At 44.1% G+C, this 15,736-nt stretch overlaps 1 pseudogene, besides 1 other annotated feature; it reads right to left on the bottom strand.

Moving 5' to 3' along the window:
* Window positions 5,049-5,198: an enhancer, noted in NCBI's record as "active region_2042". NCBI's record gives its function as "activates an Ori minimal core promoter by ATAC-STARR-seq in GM12878 lymphoblastoid cells {active_cell/tissue: GM12878}" and the evidence as "EXISTENCE:reporter gene assay evidence [ECO:0000049][PMID:35858748]".
* RPS18P4 (ribosomal protein S18 pseudogene 4) lies at window positions 14,939-15,466 on the bottom strand (annotated as a pseudogene).

The following is a 15,736-nucleotide window of genomic DNA, read 5'->3' as shown; positions in this document are numbered from 1 at the left end:
GATCTTGTGAGAACTCAATCACTAGCATGAGGACAGCACCAAGTGGATGGCGCTAAACCATTCATGAAAACCCTGACCCCATGATCCAATCACCTCCTATCAGGCCCCACTTTCTTTCTTTCTTTTTTTTTTTTTGAGACGGAGTCTTGCTCTGTCACCCAGGCTGGAGTGCAGTGTCGATCTCGGCTCACTGCAAGCTCCACCTCCTGGGTTCACACCATTCTCCTGCCTCAGCCTCCCAAGTAGCTGGGACTACAGGCACCTGCCACCATGCCTGGCTAATTTTTTTTTTTTTTTTTTTTTGTATCTTTAGTAGAGACAGGGTTTCACCGTGTTGGCCAGGATGGTCTCGATCTCCTGACCTTGCCTCAGCCTTCCAAAGTGCTGGGATTACAGGCGTGAGCCACCGCGCCCGGCCAGGCCCCACTTTCAACACTGGGGATTACAATTCAACATGAGATTTGAGTGGGGACAGATTCAAACCATATCACCATGCAATAATCAATCTGAAGTTCAAATTGAATTGGGTATTCTGTATTTTATCTGGCAACTCTATTTCAGAATCACCTCTCTAAAATGCAAATCTGATCTGTTTAATCTATTGCTATCTTAATGTGACTTCACAGGTAAATAATCTTCCTCAAAAGAGACTGTATTTATCAGCTGGAAGGAGTATTTGGGTCAATTGAAAAATCATATTTCTCATTTTTGACCAGAGAATCAGCATAGTGAAGAGCATTTTCCCAGCACCATTTTTTTTTTGGTGTCATGGGCCATCCATACCATGACTTTTTTCAGTAAGTTTGAGATCTATATTAAATTAATTTACTTTTTAAATTTTGCATTACACTAAGTAATGATATCCATGAAATCACCACTCCAATGAGCTACTGATTTTTTATACCTATTACAATAAACACAGGGCTACAATAAATTTTTATTCCTATGTTATCTAAAACTTGCACGTACACTCTGGGAAATACCAATAGAGGAAGGAGAGCTGTGCTGGCGCTGGTCTGATCTGACTCATACTCTACCATCCCGGAGCCTCAATCACTGTCTGGTTGGAGAGGAGAAGGCCCTGGTGTGCTGGCAAACCCTGAACTTGACTGGATTAGATTAGGATGAGAGGGACAGGACAGTCAGGCTTCTGATAAGGATGGAAAAGTGGGAATTGGAGTTCAGCCTCCAGGAATCCTGCAGGCCCCCTGGTAGTGGAGCCATATATGTATTTGGGGTCCCACTACCAGAGAGGAGATACATGGGGACCGGTGAGGGCCAAGAACGTGGCCAGAGGTTGTGGTTGAGGAGTTTAGGACCCCAGATGAAAAACTCCTGTCTCCAGGGGCTGAAAGCAGATACTTAAGAATTCTTCTTGTGGGATTTGGACACAGACTGTGATCTACCTGCCTGCACAATGTCTCATTGTTCCTGACTTGTTAAGAAAGCTTCTCCTGATACTTGGTAGCAGTTCAGGTTGATGTCAGCCCCTGGGCTGTCCAGCAGAAAGATTTTCCCAGGTTTCTCAGTGGAGACTGGAGCCACCAGAACTGTGACACCCTGAACTTGAACCAACCAGCCAGTCTTGTCAGGTACCTCTGACCCGAAAGGTCATGCCAAGAGCCCAGAGGCTCTGATCATGATCTCAGCACTTCATCCACATAAAGGAGCCCACTGTTGTGTTTCCCAAATGCTGCAAGGCTCTTTTGCTCCGGGTTTCACTGATCCGCCCCTCCTTTTAAAAAGACTCTTGGATTCTGCCAACATTACTCTAGGCCTCCACTCTCTGCTCACCAAAGCCTAAGCCCTGTGGCCTTAGGGCCGATAAGTCCTTGGATACATTTCCCAGTGTGTTTTTCCTTGGTGGGCCGGTGAGACAAGAGACGATGGGGGTCTTTACTGTACTCATGTGACACATGGCTGTTCTGCATGCGGCAAGGCAGAGGGGCTGGGAAGGAGGGAGAGTATGAAGTGTCTGTTTTGTGCCAAGCATTGAGCTAAGCCAATTGTCACAATAATCCTGGAGGCAGATACCATCATCTTCAGTTTATAGATGAGGAAAGCTAAGCTCAGAGAGATTAAATAACTGTGAACGGCAGAAAAAACCGAGCCGGAATTAGACTTCAGATCTTCTGACCTTAAGTCTGGTGCTCTTTGAGTCATGCCACCTGAAATCAATTTGAGAGAAAGGGCAATTGTTGGCTCAATTTTGATGAAATAAGAATTTGAGGGGACACCCTCTGTGTGCCTAAGGATGAGGCCCAACACAGGGAACAGAATTCAGGAGACTCTGCAAGGGCAGAACATACTGGTAACATGTCCTGCAGGCTTTAACTCCTATTCTTTTTTCATGATTGTTCCACAGTCTTCTTTCCTAAGGACTATTATCAGATCCATATACCCATGTTAGTTAGAGTAAATGTTAGGCTTCTGTAACAAATAAACCCAAAATATAATGGCTTAAACTTAAGTTTATCTCTCTCACATAAAATTCCAGGTGAGTGGTTCAGAGCTGGTACACCACAAAATGTCTTGCTCAGCTCCTATCATCACATCTTGCATCCCTACCATCAAGATGGAGGAGAACATGCAACTTCTTTTTAAGAGTCTGGCCTTGAGGATTGCACATATCACCTCTACTTATATCTCATGTTGTCCCAAACAATGACATGAACAATTGTAGCTGCAAGGGAAGTTGGGAAATAGAGTCTTTATCTGAGTTTCCATGTACACAGTAAAAAAACTTCTGTTGCTATAGAAAAGAGAAAAAAATTGGGGAGAACATAGAGGAGCCACTACTATAATAATTTTGGAACACTCTTACATGAATTGATAGGCCATTTATGTTTTCTTTAAGAAGTCTGGGCCAGGCGTGGTGGCTCATACCTGTAATCCCAGCACTTTGGGAGGCCAAGGCAGGCGGATCACCTGAGGTCAGGAGTTCAAGACCAGCCTGGCCAACATGGTGAAACCTTGTCTCTACTAAAACTACAAAAATTAGCCGGGCATGATGGCAGGTGCCTGTAATCCCAGCTACTTGGGAGGCTGAGATGGGAGAATTGCTTGAACCCGGGAGGCGGAGCTTGCAGTGAGCTGAGATTGTACCACTGCACTAAAGCCTGGGCGACAGAGCGAGACTTCATCTCAAAAAAAAAAAAAAAAAAAAAAAAGTCTGGATTATGTGGCTTAGAGCCACAACTCTGCTACTTAGATGTGATCTTGGCAAGTTGTGTAACTTCTCTGAATCTCAGATTTTTCCTCTGTACAATGAAGTGATGAAATTAGCCTACCTACCAAGCTCGGATATTGGAAGGCCCAAATAAACTCATGTCTTTGAATGCTGCATGTAAGCTGCAAGGTCCCATGAAAAGTGAAGTGCTACAGCATTGGGCCACCCAGAGGGGGGTTTTTGTTTTTGTTTGTGTGTTTGTTAAGCATTTGGTGCTGGTTCCTCAGCTTGGTTTAGGGTGAAAACCACATATCCAAGTCTTCTGTATGGTATTTCCACTCTCAAGGGAATACTTTAGCACATCCTATTCACTTCTACTGGTTAGCCTGCCTCTCTCCCCAGAGCCCTGCCACTCTTGTGGGCTCCCATCCTTCCCTTGGGTGCAAGTCACTGCCAACCCACCCCGACTGGCCACTTCTGATCCCTAATCACAAGTGGGTAATAAAGGCCCCGAAACTTACTCCTCCCGGAGTGGATTTGGGTGGAGGGCCCCGAAACAGGCCCTGCAGGAAGGAGCCCAGGAAACGGCCCCCGGCAATGCTAATCTGAGCGTTTTTCCCCAAGCATATGCAACAAACCTCAAAAGGCCACCTCGGCATGCTTTCACACCCCTAGTTGAGATTGTATGACAGTCAGCAGTGTGTGTTAGTTACAGCAGGACCAGTTGTTATCTATTAGCCTCTAAGCTCCTTAAGGAAAGAAGGAAATAAACCTTTTCTCAGCATCTATTATGCCTTAGGCTCATAAACAATGTGCCAGCATTTATTCCTCACCCAACCTCACTGCCAGGAGGAATTATGACCTCCTTCTTGGTAGATGAGGAGTAAGAGGTTGAAAGAGTACCTTGTTCAGTACCAGACAGTCATCAAGTGAAGGTGGCAAGATTTGAATCCAGGATCTGATGCCAAGTCTGGCTCCCTCCTATGACACCGTGATTAATCTGTACTGTAGTTGAGTGTGAAAAGGTGGAAACTATGTGTTCAGCCATTGTACCTTCCCTTGAGCACTAACACGATTTCATGCCAGCAGGGCCTCAAAAGGATTAAAGAGAATGGCATTTTTCACCATTTTATCTCTGACAGTGCACAGCACAGTTCCTGATACGTGAAACAGGTCATTATGATATTTATTGGACATACCGAAATTGTTGGACTGATATTTTTTAAAAAATCATAGCTGTATTTATTCATTCCAAGAGCTGAAGGTGAAAGTGCCTTGCAAAGCCTTCCTGGGAGTAAGGTTGTCAGGCAGATAAAACAAGCTAGTGAAATCAGGGAAAAGATTTCCTGGACACAACTGTTCATGCCAGGCTTCCTGGCGGAACCACAGCAGGAGTTAACCAAGGGTCTACTGTGGTTATTGCCTGAGCCACACTCACAGCCATGAATCTGTGGCAAAAGCAGATGGCACTTCCGGCAGACATCCCCCAGAGGAGAGAATTTTCCATGAGGCCTGTGTATGGCAGCCAGCCATCCTGGGTTTCCTGGCATGGTCCAATTTCCCATCTTTTGTCTCAAAGTCCTTAGAAGGACATATGTATGGGGTGGGTAAAGTCCTGCTCTTAGTTATTTAATTTATTTATTTTTACAGGCAGCCTCTCAAACCAGAGTAGGCTCAGAGAGACTCCTGAGTCCTGCTTTTGAATTTGGAAAATATGGTTATAGCAGGCACGTGGAAAGTGCCTTTTATTGCCTCCCACCTGCAGATCAAAGGCAGAGGGGCCGGCCTGCCCAGGTCAGCCTGTTTCACCCGGGAAAGGGAGGGCCATCTGCTCCAGTCAGGAAGCCCTGGGGAGCCTTCTAATAGAGGAAGCCCACCAGGGCCAGAGCAGGGCTGTGTCCTAAGAATTCAACAGTCCCCGAAAAGTCCAAGAAAGTGGTAACAGGAAAGAAGCAACAGCAGAAGCAGAAACTGCTCTTTTGATCTCATTGCGCAAAGGAAGGAGGTGACCCAAGGCCTCTTGTGACACACACAGAAGCACATAGAAGTATATTTGGGGAAGTGTGTGAGAGCTCTCCCCAAAGATGTCTTCAGATTAGAGGTCAACCCTGGGTGGCTGCCCTGGGGCAAGCTGGGATGCTCTTGTGGTTCAGCTCTTTCCACACTCAGACGGGGTCACTGCTGGGTAACAATATGCCTAGCAAGCACAGGTAAACCAAGCCAAAAGCCTATTTGTTTTCTAGGATCAGTCTGTTAACCCCTCAACTCCCAGCCCAGCCAGGCAGGTCCCTATGGGTTAAGCTTTGTGCTAGGCCTCAGGAGACCTTGGGTCTCATCCCGATCCCCTAAACAGCTCTGAAGCCTGGGGCACATCACTTTTTTCCTCTGACCTCAGCATTCTCACCGGTTCAGTTAAGGAATCAAGAAGGCTAACAGAAGTTTAGAGGGCTTACCGCACACTGGCTGATCACTTTGCCCTGAAGTGATTCAACACTAAAAAAGCTCGAAAGTGTTAGTTTTCTTCAGTTTGGTAAAATCTGTGTGATTCTACACATCCTATTCATTCATTCGCTTGCTTAAACTTGTCCTGAGCATCACTATACATCAGCACTGCTAAGTAACAAACACTATTAGTGTCTCCTTATTGAGTTCCAACTAAGTGTCAGGCGCTTTAGATAGATTACCCCCACTTAATCTTCCTCACAGATCTGTGAGGCAATACCTCCATTTTTATTTATTTACTTTTCTTTTTTGAGACAGGGCTTTACTCTGTCACCCAGACTAGAGTACAGTAATGCAGTCATAGCTCACTGCAGCCTTGACCTCCCAGGCTCAGTTGACCCTCCCGTCTCAGCCTCCCAAGTAGCTGGGAGTACAGGTATGTGCCACCATGCCCAGCTAATTTTTATATTTTTTTGTAGAGATGGTGTTTCACCATGTTACCCAGGTTGGTCTCAACTCCTGAGCTCAAGCAGTCTGCCCACCTTGGCCTCTCAAAGTGCTGGGATTACAGGCGTGAGCCACTGTGCTCAGCAATACCTCCATCATTAGAGCAAGAAAAGGTTAAGCAGCTTGCTCTAGGTCATTCATCTTTCATTCTCAGTCAGTCTCCAAAGCTGGTGTTTTAATACACTAGTTCTATCCCTGCAGAGCTAAATGAGATGAGGTCATCCTCATTTCAAGGAAGTTCCAGCTAGCAACCCTGTGGTCAGAAGGCCAGGTTGCAGCCCCGAGAGTCCTGGCATTGTTCATAGGGTACATTAGGACATGTCACACTTGGAAAACCTGGCGAGCCTAGAACACATAGCAAACCATTTTTCTCTGCATGTTCCTAGCCACGGTTCTGCAGACCTAGCTTCCCACATGAATATTCTTTCTGTACCATGAATATTACAAACTACAGAAATAGTGCCCTCATGTGTCAGGAGCACAACGCACCTTTGAACTCTGGAGAAAGGCACATTTTAAACAATCTTAAAACTATGAAACACTTTTGTTTTTGCTTCTTTTGTTTGTTTTCGCTTTTGCTTTCTATGTCTTTGAAGCATGCTGGGAAGAAATGATGAAAAATTGCTAAATCTGCAGAACTCCACCCAGAGGCAAATTACTAAGTACCAGGACCTGCAGGAGAAACTAAAGGGAAGTAATCTTGGAATAGTTGGTATTCTATGAATTGTGCATCTGTGGATTCAACCAACTGCGGATCAAAATTGTGTGAGAAAAAAATTCCACAAAGTTTCAAAAAGCAAAACTTGAATTTGCATGCACTGAGTACTACATTGAATCCAGGCAAATGAAGTGATGTGTAAGCATTGCATTAGGTAGTCCAGATGTGATTTAAAGTATTTGGGAGGATATGTGTACATTATATGCAAATACGATGCCATTTTTTTTTTTTTTTTTTTTTGAGACGGAGTTTCGCTCTGTCGCACAGGCTGGAGTGCAGTGGCGCGATCTCGACTCACTGCAAGCTCCGCCTCCCGGGTTCACGCCATTCTCCTGCCTCAGCCTCCCGTGTAGCTGGGACTACAGGCACACGCCACCATGCCCGGCTAATTTTTGTATTTTTAGTAGAGACGGGGTTTCACCGTGTTAGCCAGGATGGTCTCGATCTCCTGACCTCGTGATCCGCCCGTCTCGGCCTCCCAAAGTGCTGGGATTACAGGCGTGAGCCACCGTGCCCGGCCGATGCCATTTTATATAAGGGACTTGGGCATTGATACGGTTTGGCTGTGTCCCCACCCAAATCTCAACTTGAATTCTATCTCCCAGAATTCCTACATGTTGTGGGAGGGAACCAGGAGGAGGTAATTGAATCATGGGGGCTGGTCTTTCTCATGCTATTCTCGTGATAGTGAATAAGTTTCACAAGATCTGATGGGTTTATTAGGGGTTTCTGCTTTTGCTTCTTCTTCTTCTCTCTTGCTGCCGCCATGTAAAAGGCGACTTTTGCCCTCTGCCATGATTCTGAGGCCTCCCCAGCCATGTGGAACTGTAAATCCATTAAACCTCTTTTTCTTCCTAGTTTTGGGTATGTCTTCATCAGCAGCATGAAAATGGACTAATACAGTAAATTGGTACCAGTAGAGTGGGGCGTTGCTGAAAAGATACTCAGCAAATGTGGAAAATGTGGAAGCAACTTTGGAACTGGGTAACAGGCAGAGGTTGAAACAGTTTGGAGGGCTCAGAAGAAGCCAGGAAAATGTGGGAAGGCTTGAAACTTCCTGGAGACTTGTTGAATGGCTTTGCCCAAAATACTGATAGCAATATGAAAAATAAAATCCAGGCTGAGGTGGCCTCAGATGGAGATGAGGAACTTTTTGGGAACTGGAGCAAAGGTGACTCTTGTATGTCTTAGCAAACAGACTGGTGGCATTTTGCCTCTGCCCTAGAGATTTGTGGAACTTTGAACTTGAGAGAGATGATTTAGGGTATCTGGTGGAAGAAATTTCTAAGCAGCAAAGCATTTAAGAGGTGACTTGGGTGCTGTTAAAGGCATTCAGTTTTAAAAGGGAAACAGAGCATAAAAGTTCAGAAAATTTGGAGCCTGACTATGGAATAGAAAAGAAAAACCCATTTTCTGAGGAGAAATTTAAGCCAGCTGCAGAAATTTGCATAAGTAGCAAGAGCCTAACGTTAATCCCCACGACCATGGGGAAAATGTCTCCAAGGCATGTCAGAGGTCTTCACTGCAGCCCCTCCCATCACAGGTCCGGAGGCCCAGGAGAGAAAGTGGTTTTGTGGGCCAAGCCCAGGGTCCCCGTGCTGTGTGCAGCCTAGGGACTTGGTTCCCTGTGTCCCAGCTGCTCCAGCCATGGCTGAAAGGGACCAACATAGAGTTCAGGCTGTGGCTTCAGAGGGTGAAAGCCCTAAGCCTTGGCAGCTTCCATGTGGTATTGAGTTTGCAGGTACACAGAAGTCAAGAATTGAGGTTTGGGAACCTTCGCCTAGATTTCAGAAGATGTACGGAAATGCCTGGATGCCCAGGAAAAAGTTTGCTGCAGGGGCAGGGCCCTCATGGAGAGCCTCTGCTAGAGCAGCGCAGAAGGGAAATGTGGGGCTGGAGCCCCCAAATAGAGTCCCTACTGGGGCACTGCTTAGTGGAGCTGTGAGAAGAGGGCCACTGTCCTCCAGACCCCAGAATGGTAGATCACTGACAGCTTGCACCATGTGTGTGGAAAAACTGCAGATACTCAACGCCAGCCTGTGAAAGCAGCCAGAAGGGAGGCTGTTACAGAGGCAAAGCTGCCCAAGACCATGGGAACCCACCTCTTGCATCAGCATGACCTGGTTGTGAGACGTGGAGTCAAAGCAGAGCATTTTGGAGCTTTAGAATTTGACTGCCCCACTGGGTTTCAGACTTGCATGGGCCCTGTAACCCCTTTGTTTTGCCCAATTTCTCCCATTTGGAATGGCTGTATTTACCTAATACCTGTACCCCGATTGTATCTAGGAAGTAACTAGCTTGCTTTTGATTTTACAGGCTCATAGGTGGAAGGGACTTGCCTTGTCTCAAATGATACTTTCGACTGTGGAATTTTGGGTTAATGCTGAAAGGAGTTAAGACTTTCGGAGACTGTTGGGAAGGCATGATTGGTTTTGAAATGTGAGGACATGAGATTTGGAGGGGCCAGGTGCAGAATGATATGGTTTGGCTGTGTCCCCACCCAAATCTCAATTTGAATTGTGTCTCCCAGAATTCCCCCATGTTGTGGGAGGGAACCAGGGGGAGGTAATTGAATCGTGGAGGCTGGTCTTTCCCTTGCTGTTCTCGTGATAGTGAATAAGTCTCATGGATCTGATGGGTTTATCAGCGGTTTCTGCTTTTGCTTCTTCCTCTCCTCTCTTGCCGCCATCATGTAAGAAATGTCTTTCACCCTCCGCCATGATTTCAACCTCCCAGCCATGTGGAACTGTAAGTCCAATTAAACATCTTTTTCTTCCCAGTCTCAAGTATGTCTTTATCAGCAGAGTGGAATCGGACTAATACAGGCATCCATGGATTTTGGTATCTGCTGGGAATCCTGGAATCAATCCCCCATGGATACCCAGGGATGACTATACTCTCATGCATGCTGAGGGGAGCTGATGTCCTGTGCTAGCCTGGAAAGTCTAGAAATTTTGTTTCAAGGGATATGATGAGGAAAATATATGTAATAACAATAATAATCAGAAAATGGTCCTTACTTCTTTACCATGTTTGTTTTTTCTTTTATACTTTCTTTTCCATGTCTTTTATTATTTTCCCTTCATTTGCTTTTTTCCCTTCCTCTCTCTACGCTTCCTATCAACTTTTAGAAATAGTTATGTTGGCCGGGCACGGTGGCTCACGCTTGTAATCCCAATACTTTGGGAGGCCGAGGGGGGCGGATCATGACGTCGGGAGATTGAGACCATCCTGGCTAACATGGACTCCGTCTCTACTAAAAAAATACAAAAAAAATTAGCCAGGCGTGGTGGTGGGCGCCTGTAGTCCCAGCTACTTGGGAGGCTGAGGCAGGAGAATGGCGTGAACTCAGGAGGTGGAGCTTGCAGTGAGCCAAGATTGCGCCACTACACTCCAGCCCGGGCGACAGAGTGAGACTCCGTCTCAAAAAAAAAAAAAAAAAAAAAAATAGTTATGTTTACTTAGAAATCATGGCATTTTTATTTTGCTCATTTATGTGGTTTTAAAATTTTGCCTCTTCTTTTTTGAGTGTGTGTTGGGGTGAGTGTAGATGTGCAGAGATTGAAGCGCTATGATATAACCAAGAGAAAACCAGACTTGGATTTAAAAGATCTAGGTTCCTCTCCATCTATCCTCCCCTCCCTGCTCTCTCCACAAAGAATTAGCAATCATTCATTAAAACACATACAGTAAATAATCATACAATATACTCTTAAGGGATATGATGAAGGAAAATAATAAAAAGTAATGTATAACATAGAGTCCTGTATATTTGCTCAAGGTAGGTCACAAGACATTTCATTGTGAAAACTCTCAGAAACCAAAGCGAAAGGGAAAAATAATTAATAATTGTTTTTATCATCTCCATTAGATTAAAAGAAACCAGTTGCTCTTTGGAAGTATTATGCTTTCTGATATTGAGACTTGACACATTCTCTTATGGGTGCTCATAAGGAAAGTACTGTTTTATAGAGGGAGACATCTCAACATAGCCCTACAAGAGCGATAGTAACACATTTCCTCCTGTTCTTTCTTATAACTGTGTTTGAAGTAAGCTGATATTGTAACTCTGGGGTACAATTCAATAAAAACAAAACCAAACAAAAGGACAAATAGTACAATTCCAGTAGGCAATTCTTTGATACTCAGATGCATTTCAAGGGTACAATTTAGAATAGCTTAAAAAAAAACCCCAATATGAATGGACTGCATGTTCTTAGGAAATCCACCACAGATATTATTTCTCCTAACTGGGCATTTGATAAAACTGAACATGGCAGAGTGTGAAGTTGTAACATCTCAAAAGAAGCAGCAGAAGGTAGATTAAGTGGGTACCCCAAAAACAGAAGCCAAAGTCTCTTTCGAAGAACAGTTTGGCTCCTTTAGCTTATGAGAGAAAGAGAGAGGCATCTAAAAATTCTCGAATGTTATAGTGCATAGGCTGTACTAGGATATTTGTTAAAAATGCAGAGTCCCAGGAATCTCTCTATGGATTTTTGATTCTAGTGTTCTAGAGTAGGCCAATGAATCTGCATTTTAAACAATTACTCAAGAAACAACTGGGACAGGACACTACCTTAAGCAGGTCTATGATAACTCTAGCTGGGGAAAAAATTCAAAGCAGATGCTCAAGATTGCTCACTTGGACAAACATCTCTCAGTAAAACACCTTAACTTAATTTTAAAATATAGAGTTAAAATGAGTTTAGCCTAAAGCTGCCTCCTTACATATAAATATCTTAAGTTCGACCTAAAGGTTTCTCTATATATCATGAACTATAACCTAAATGGACTTGTAAACAGACTGTAGCTTACTCTTGTGCCAATCACCAAGTTTTAGCCAGTCAAAGGTGGCCAACAGTTCCAACCGTGTTCAAATAAGGCGAACACTGAGCTGTAACCCATCTGGCTGTTTTGTCCCTCACTTCAGTTTTTTATAGAGCACTTTCCTTTTTCTGTCTATAAATCTTCCATCACATGTCAGTGCTGGAGTCTCGGAGCCTACTCTGGCTTGGGAGGCTGCCCGATTCACAAATCGTTCTTTGCTGAATTAAACTCTGTTAAATTTAATTTGCCTAAGGATTTTATTTTAACAGTAGTTTCCTGGTAAACCCTCTAGGACAAATTAGTTTGGAATTGCGGTCCCTGAGTAAATGAATGTTTTGACCTGCTGTATAGAATTGCTGCTAAAGCTAATTTATGTTAAAGGATGTCTGCCAAATTTTTTGACTTTAGAGTAGGTAAACTAAAGCCATTAGATCAATTTGGATTAGGTTTGGCTGCATATGACAGAAAAAATACAGTGGCCTAAACATCATAGATGTTCTTTCTCATAGAAATGGGTTTCTTATTTCATCCTGTAATTCCAGCACTTTGGGAGGCTGAGTCAGGCGGATCACTTGAGCCTGGGAGTTTGAGACCACCCCAGGCAACTTGGTGAAACTGCATCTCTACAAAAAATACAAAAATTAGCCAGGCATGGTGGCACAAACCTGTAGTCTCAGCTACTTGGGAGGGTGAGGTGGGAGGATTGCTTGAGCCCGGGAGGCAGGGGTTGCAGTAAGCCAAGATAATACCACTGCACTCCAGCCTGGGTGACAGAGCAAGACCCTGTCTCAAAAAAAAAAAGAAAAAAAAAGAAAATAAATGGGTTTCAGAGGCTGGCAGCGCTGAGTGCTGAGCAGGTATCATGCTCTCCAATGGAAGGGACCTAGGCTCCCTCCATTGCTCTGATCTTCAGCGTGTGGCTTCTACATGCTGAAGACATCACACCCAAGACGGCTGCTGGAGCTCCTGCTACGGTTCCACATTGCAGATTGCAGGAAATAAGAAGGGCAAAGGTGGATGTACTCCCTCCCTTTAAGGACATTTTCCGGTTTTGTAGTCAGGATGTGTGCATACATGTCATTGACCAGGACTTCGTCTCATGGCCATACCTAGCTCTGAGGAGTCAGGGGTAAGAGGGTGTTGGGAAATGTAATCTTTATTTTGGATGGCCACATGCCCAGCTAAATATGGAGGTTGATTACAAAAGAAAAAGGGGGGAAATGGGTCTACCAGTCTCTGCCATAGCCATTTGTGGACATAGATTAGGAGACAAAAGCAATTGTCTGTTGAAGCTAGACATGATACTATGATAAAACTTAGTTGGCAATGTCAAAGCCATGTCACCTTTCTTAGAAAAAGTCTTTCTGATTTCAATAACAAATGCACATGCTTCCTCCTTACCTGAAAGCAAAAGCAATTCATGAGATACACACTGAAAAGGTGTGGGGTCAAAATCCCTCTGCTTTTTTCCATTTCTACTGTTATGAAATTTTTACATGTGTAACGTACCCTTATTGTAACAAACCCAAGCAGCACAGAAGAGTAAAAAGTGAAGCGTCCTCCTGTTGAAACGCCTCCTTCCTCCAATCCTACCTCAAGTGCTGCCTTGGTTAACATTTTGAGTGTTTCTTTCCAAACAAGATTTATGTCTCCTACTCCAAATTGTTACCTAATCTATCAGGACTCCATGCTTATCCTGACTTCTATTCTGCTTTGTTCCATATTAGTGTGGCATTTTACAGTCATTGCAAGAAGGGATGCAGTGGGGGTCAAAGATTACAAACGTTAAAAAGTGAAAGGGGCTTGAGATATCACAAAGCATTCTCACAAATAATTCCTTGGTTTATGTTGGAATGTAAATATGACTACACTTGCTTTTTTCCCACATGACTTAAGGAATTTTCTTCATGTTGTAATGTTTGATGGATGCAAAGCAAATGTGTAGCTTATATGTTTATGAAGCATAATAACATAATCAAATCTGTGCACCCACCGCCCAGTTTATAAACCAATTTATGTCCAGTACCATCTAAACCACCTGCGTGCTTCTCCTTTCAGCCCTCCACCTCCCCATGAGAAGTCATACTATCCTACTTTTACATTTTAATTAATTTGGCCTTTTAAAAAATAGTTTTACTACAGATGTATATGTGTACAAACTATATATTAATCTTACTTCTTTTTTGAGCTTCAAAAAAGGGATTATATGGTGGATTGCCTTCTGCAACTTGACTTTCTTTTTCCCACTACATTATATTTCCAAGATGCATTCATGTTGATACAGGTAGCTGGTGAAGACATTTTTTTTTTCTTTCCTTTTCTTTTTATTTTTTTGAGACAGGGTCTTGCTCTGTCACCCAGGTTGGAGTCCAGTGGTGTGATCACAGCTCACTGCAGCCTCAAACTCCTGGACTCAAGTGATCCTCCCACCTCAGCCTCCTGAGTTGCTGAGACTACAGGCACATGCAACTGTGCCCAGCTAGAGAGATAGTTTTTCATTGTTGTATAATATTCCACTGGGTAAGCATTTCACAAGTTATTTATCTATTCTCCTGTTGATGGAATTTGGGTAGGTTCTGTTCTGTTTTGTTTTGGTCATATAAAAATTACTGCCCTCAACATGTTTCTTGGTGGGCATACATGAGCAACAGTTTCTCTAGGGTATTATGTCCATGATGAATGGAGAGGCGGGTGGAGGATATGTGTCTAACTATAGAAGACAATGACAAATTGTTTTTCTTTTTTTTCTTTTCTTTTTGTTTTTCTTGAGACAGAGTCTCACACTGTTGCCCGGGCTGAAGTGCAGTGGCACAATCTCGGCTCACTGCAACCTCCACCTCCGGGGTCCAAGTGATTCTCCTGCCTCAACCTTCTGAGTAGCTGGGATTACAGGCACCTGCCACCACACCCGGCTAATTTTTTGTATTTTTAGTAGAGAGAGGGCTTCAGCATGTTGGCCAGGCTGGTCTTGAACTCCTGACCTCAAGTGATCCGCCCTCCTCGGCCTTCCAAAGTGCTGGGATTACAGGCGTGAGCCACTGAGCCCGGCCCGACAAATTGTTTTTCACAGTGGCTAAACCAATTTACATTCCCACAGTCATGTATAATACGTTATTGACATTTGGTTTAGCCAGACTTTGTCATTTCTGTCCATCTACTGTATATAAATAGTGCTGTCATTTGTATAATTCATAGTGTGGCTTGGGATCTTTTCATAGTGACCTTATCCTAAACTTTAAGGTGATACCAGGATTTTATTTTATTTTTATTTTTTTAAGTATATATACAGACAAGGCCTACAAACTTACTTTTTCCTGAATCCACTCACAGTACAGCCATGGCAGCCAGTGGTCTTGGCATGCTGGCCTCAGACACAAAGGTCCCAGAAGTGGCATAGCCTTCTATCGACCTGAATCTTCTTCAGTCGCTCCAGGTCTTCACAGAGCTTGTTTTCCAGACCAGGACCTAGCTATAGTTTCCATCCTTTACATCCTTCTGTCTGTTCAGGAACTAGTCTGGGTTCTTGTACTGGCGTGGATTCTGCATCATGGTGATCCTCAGGGCATTCCACCTCATCCTCAGTGAATTCTCCTGCCCTCTTGGGGAAGCCGATGTCTGCTTTTTCAACTCCACACGAGCATAAGTTCAGCTCACACCCTTAATGGCAGTGATGGCAAGGGCTATTTTCTGCTACACATTGATGTTGGGGTTGAGTACTCACAAAACATGGCTTGAACTTCTCAGTGATCACTCAAGACACGGTGGCAGCATGAGTGGCAGTGCGCAGGCCTCCTGTGGAAGAGCTTTGTCAGCGCTTTGAATGACCAAGCATCAAGATTAAGTCTGCACAGCTCCGACTGATAACCTGTCCTATCTACAGGCTCAAAGGCAAAGGCTGAGGAAAAAATATTTTTAAATAAAGGACACATCTTTTTTTTTTTTTTTTTTTTTGAGATGGACACTCACTCTGTTGCTCAGGCTGGAATGCAGTGGCGCAACCTCGGCTCACTGCAACCTCTGCTTCCCGGGTTCAAGCAATTTTCCTACCTCAGCCTCCTGAGTAGTGATTATTA

This window comes from Homo sapiens, chromosome 1 (assembly GCF_000001405.40).
Source record: "Homo sapiens chromosome 1, GRCh38.p14 Primary Assembly".
NCBI classification, from domain to species: domain Eukaryota; kingdom Metazoa; phylum Chordata; class Mammalia; order Primates; family Hominidae; genus Homo; species Homo sapiens.
This window is presented reverse-complemented; position numbering and strand designations above follow the sequence as displayed.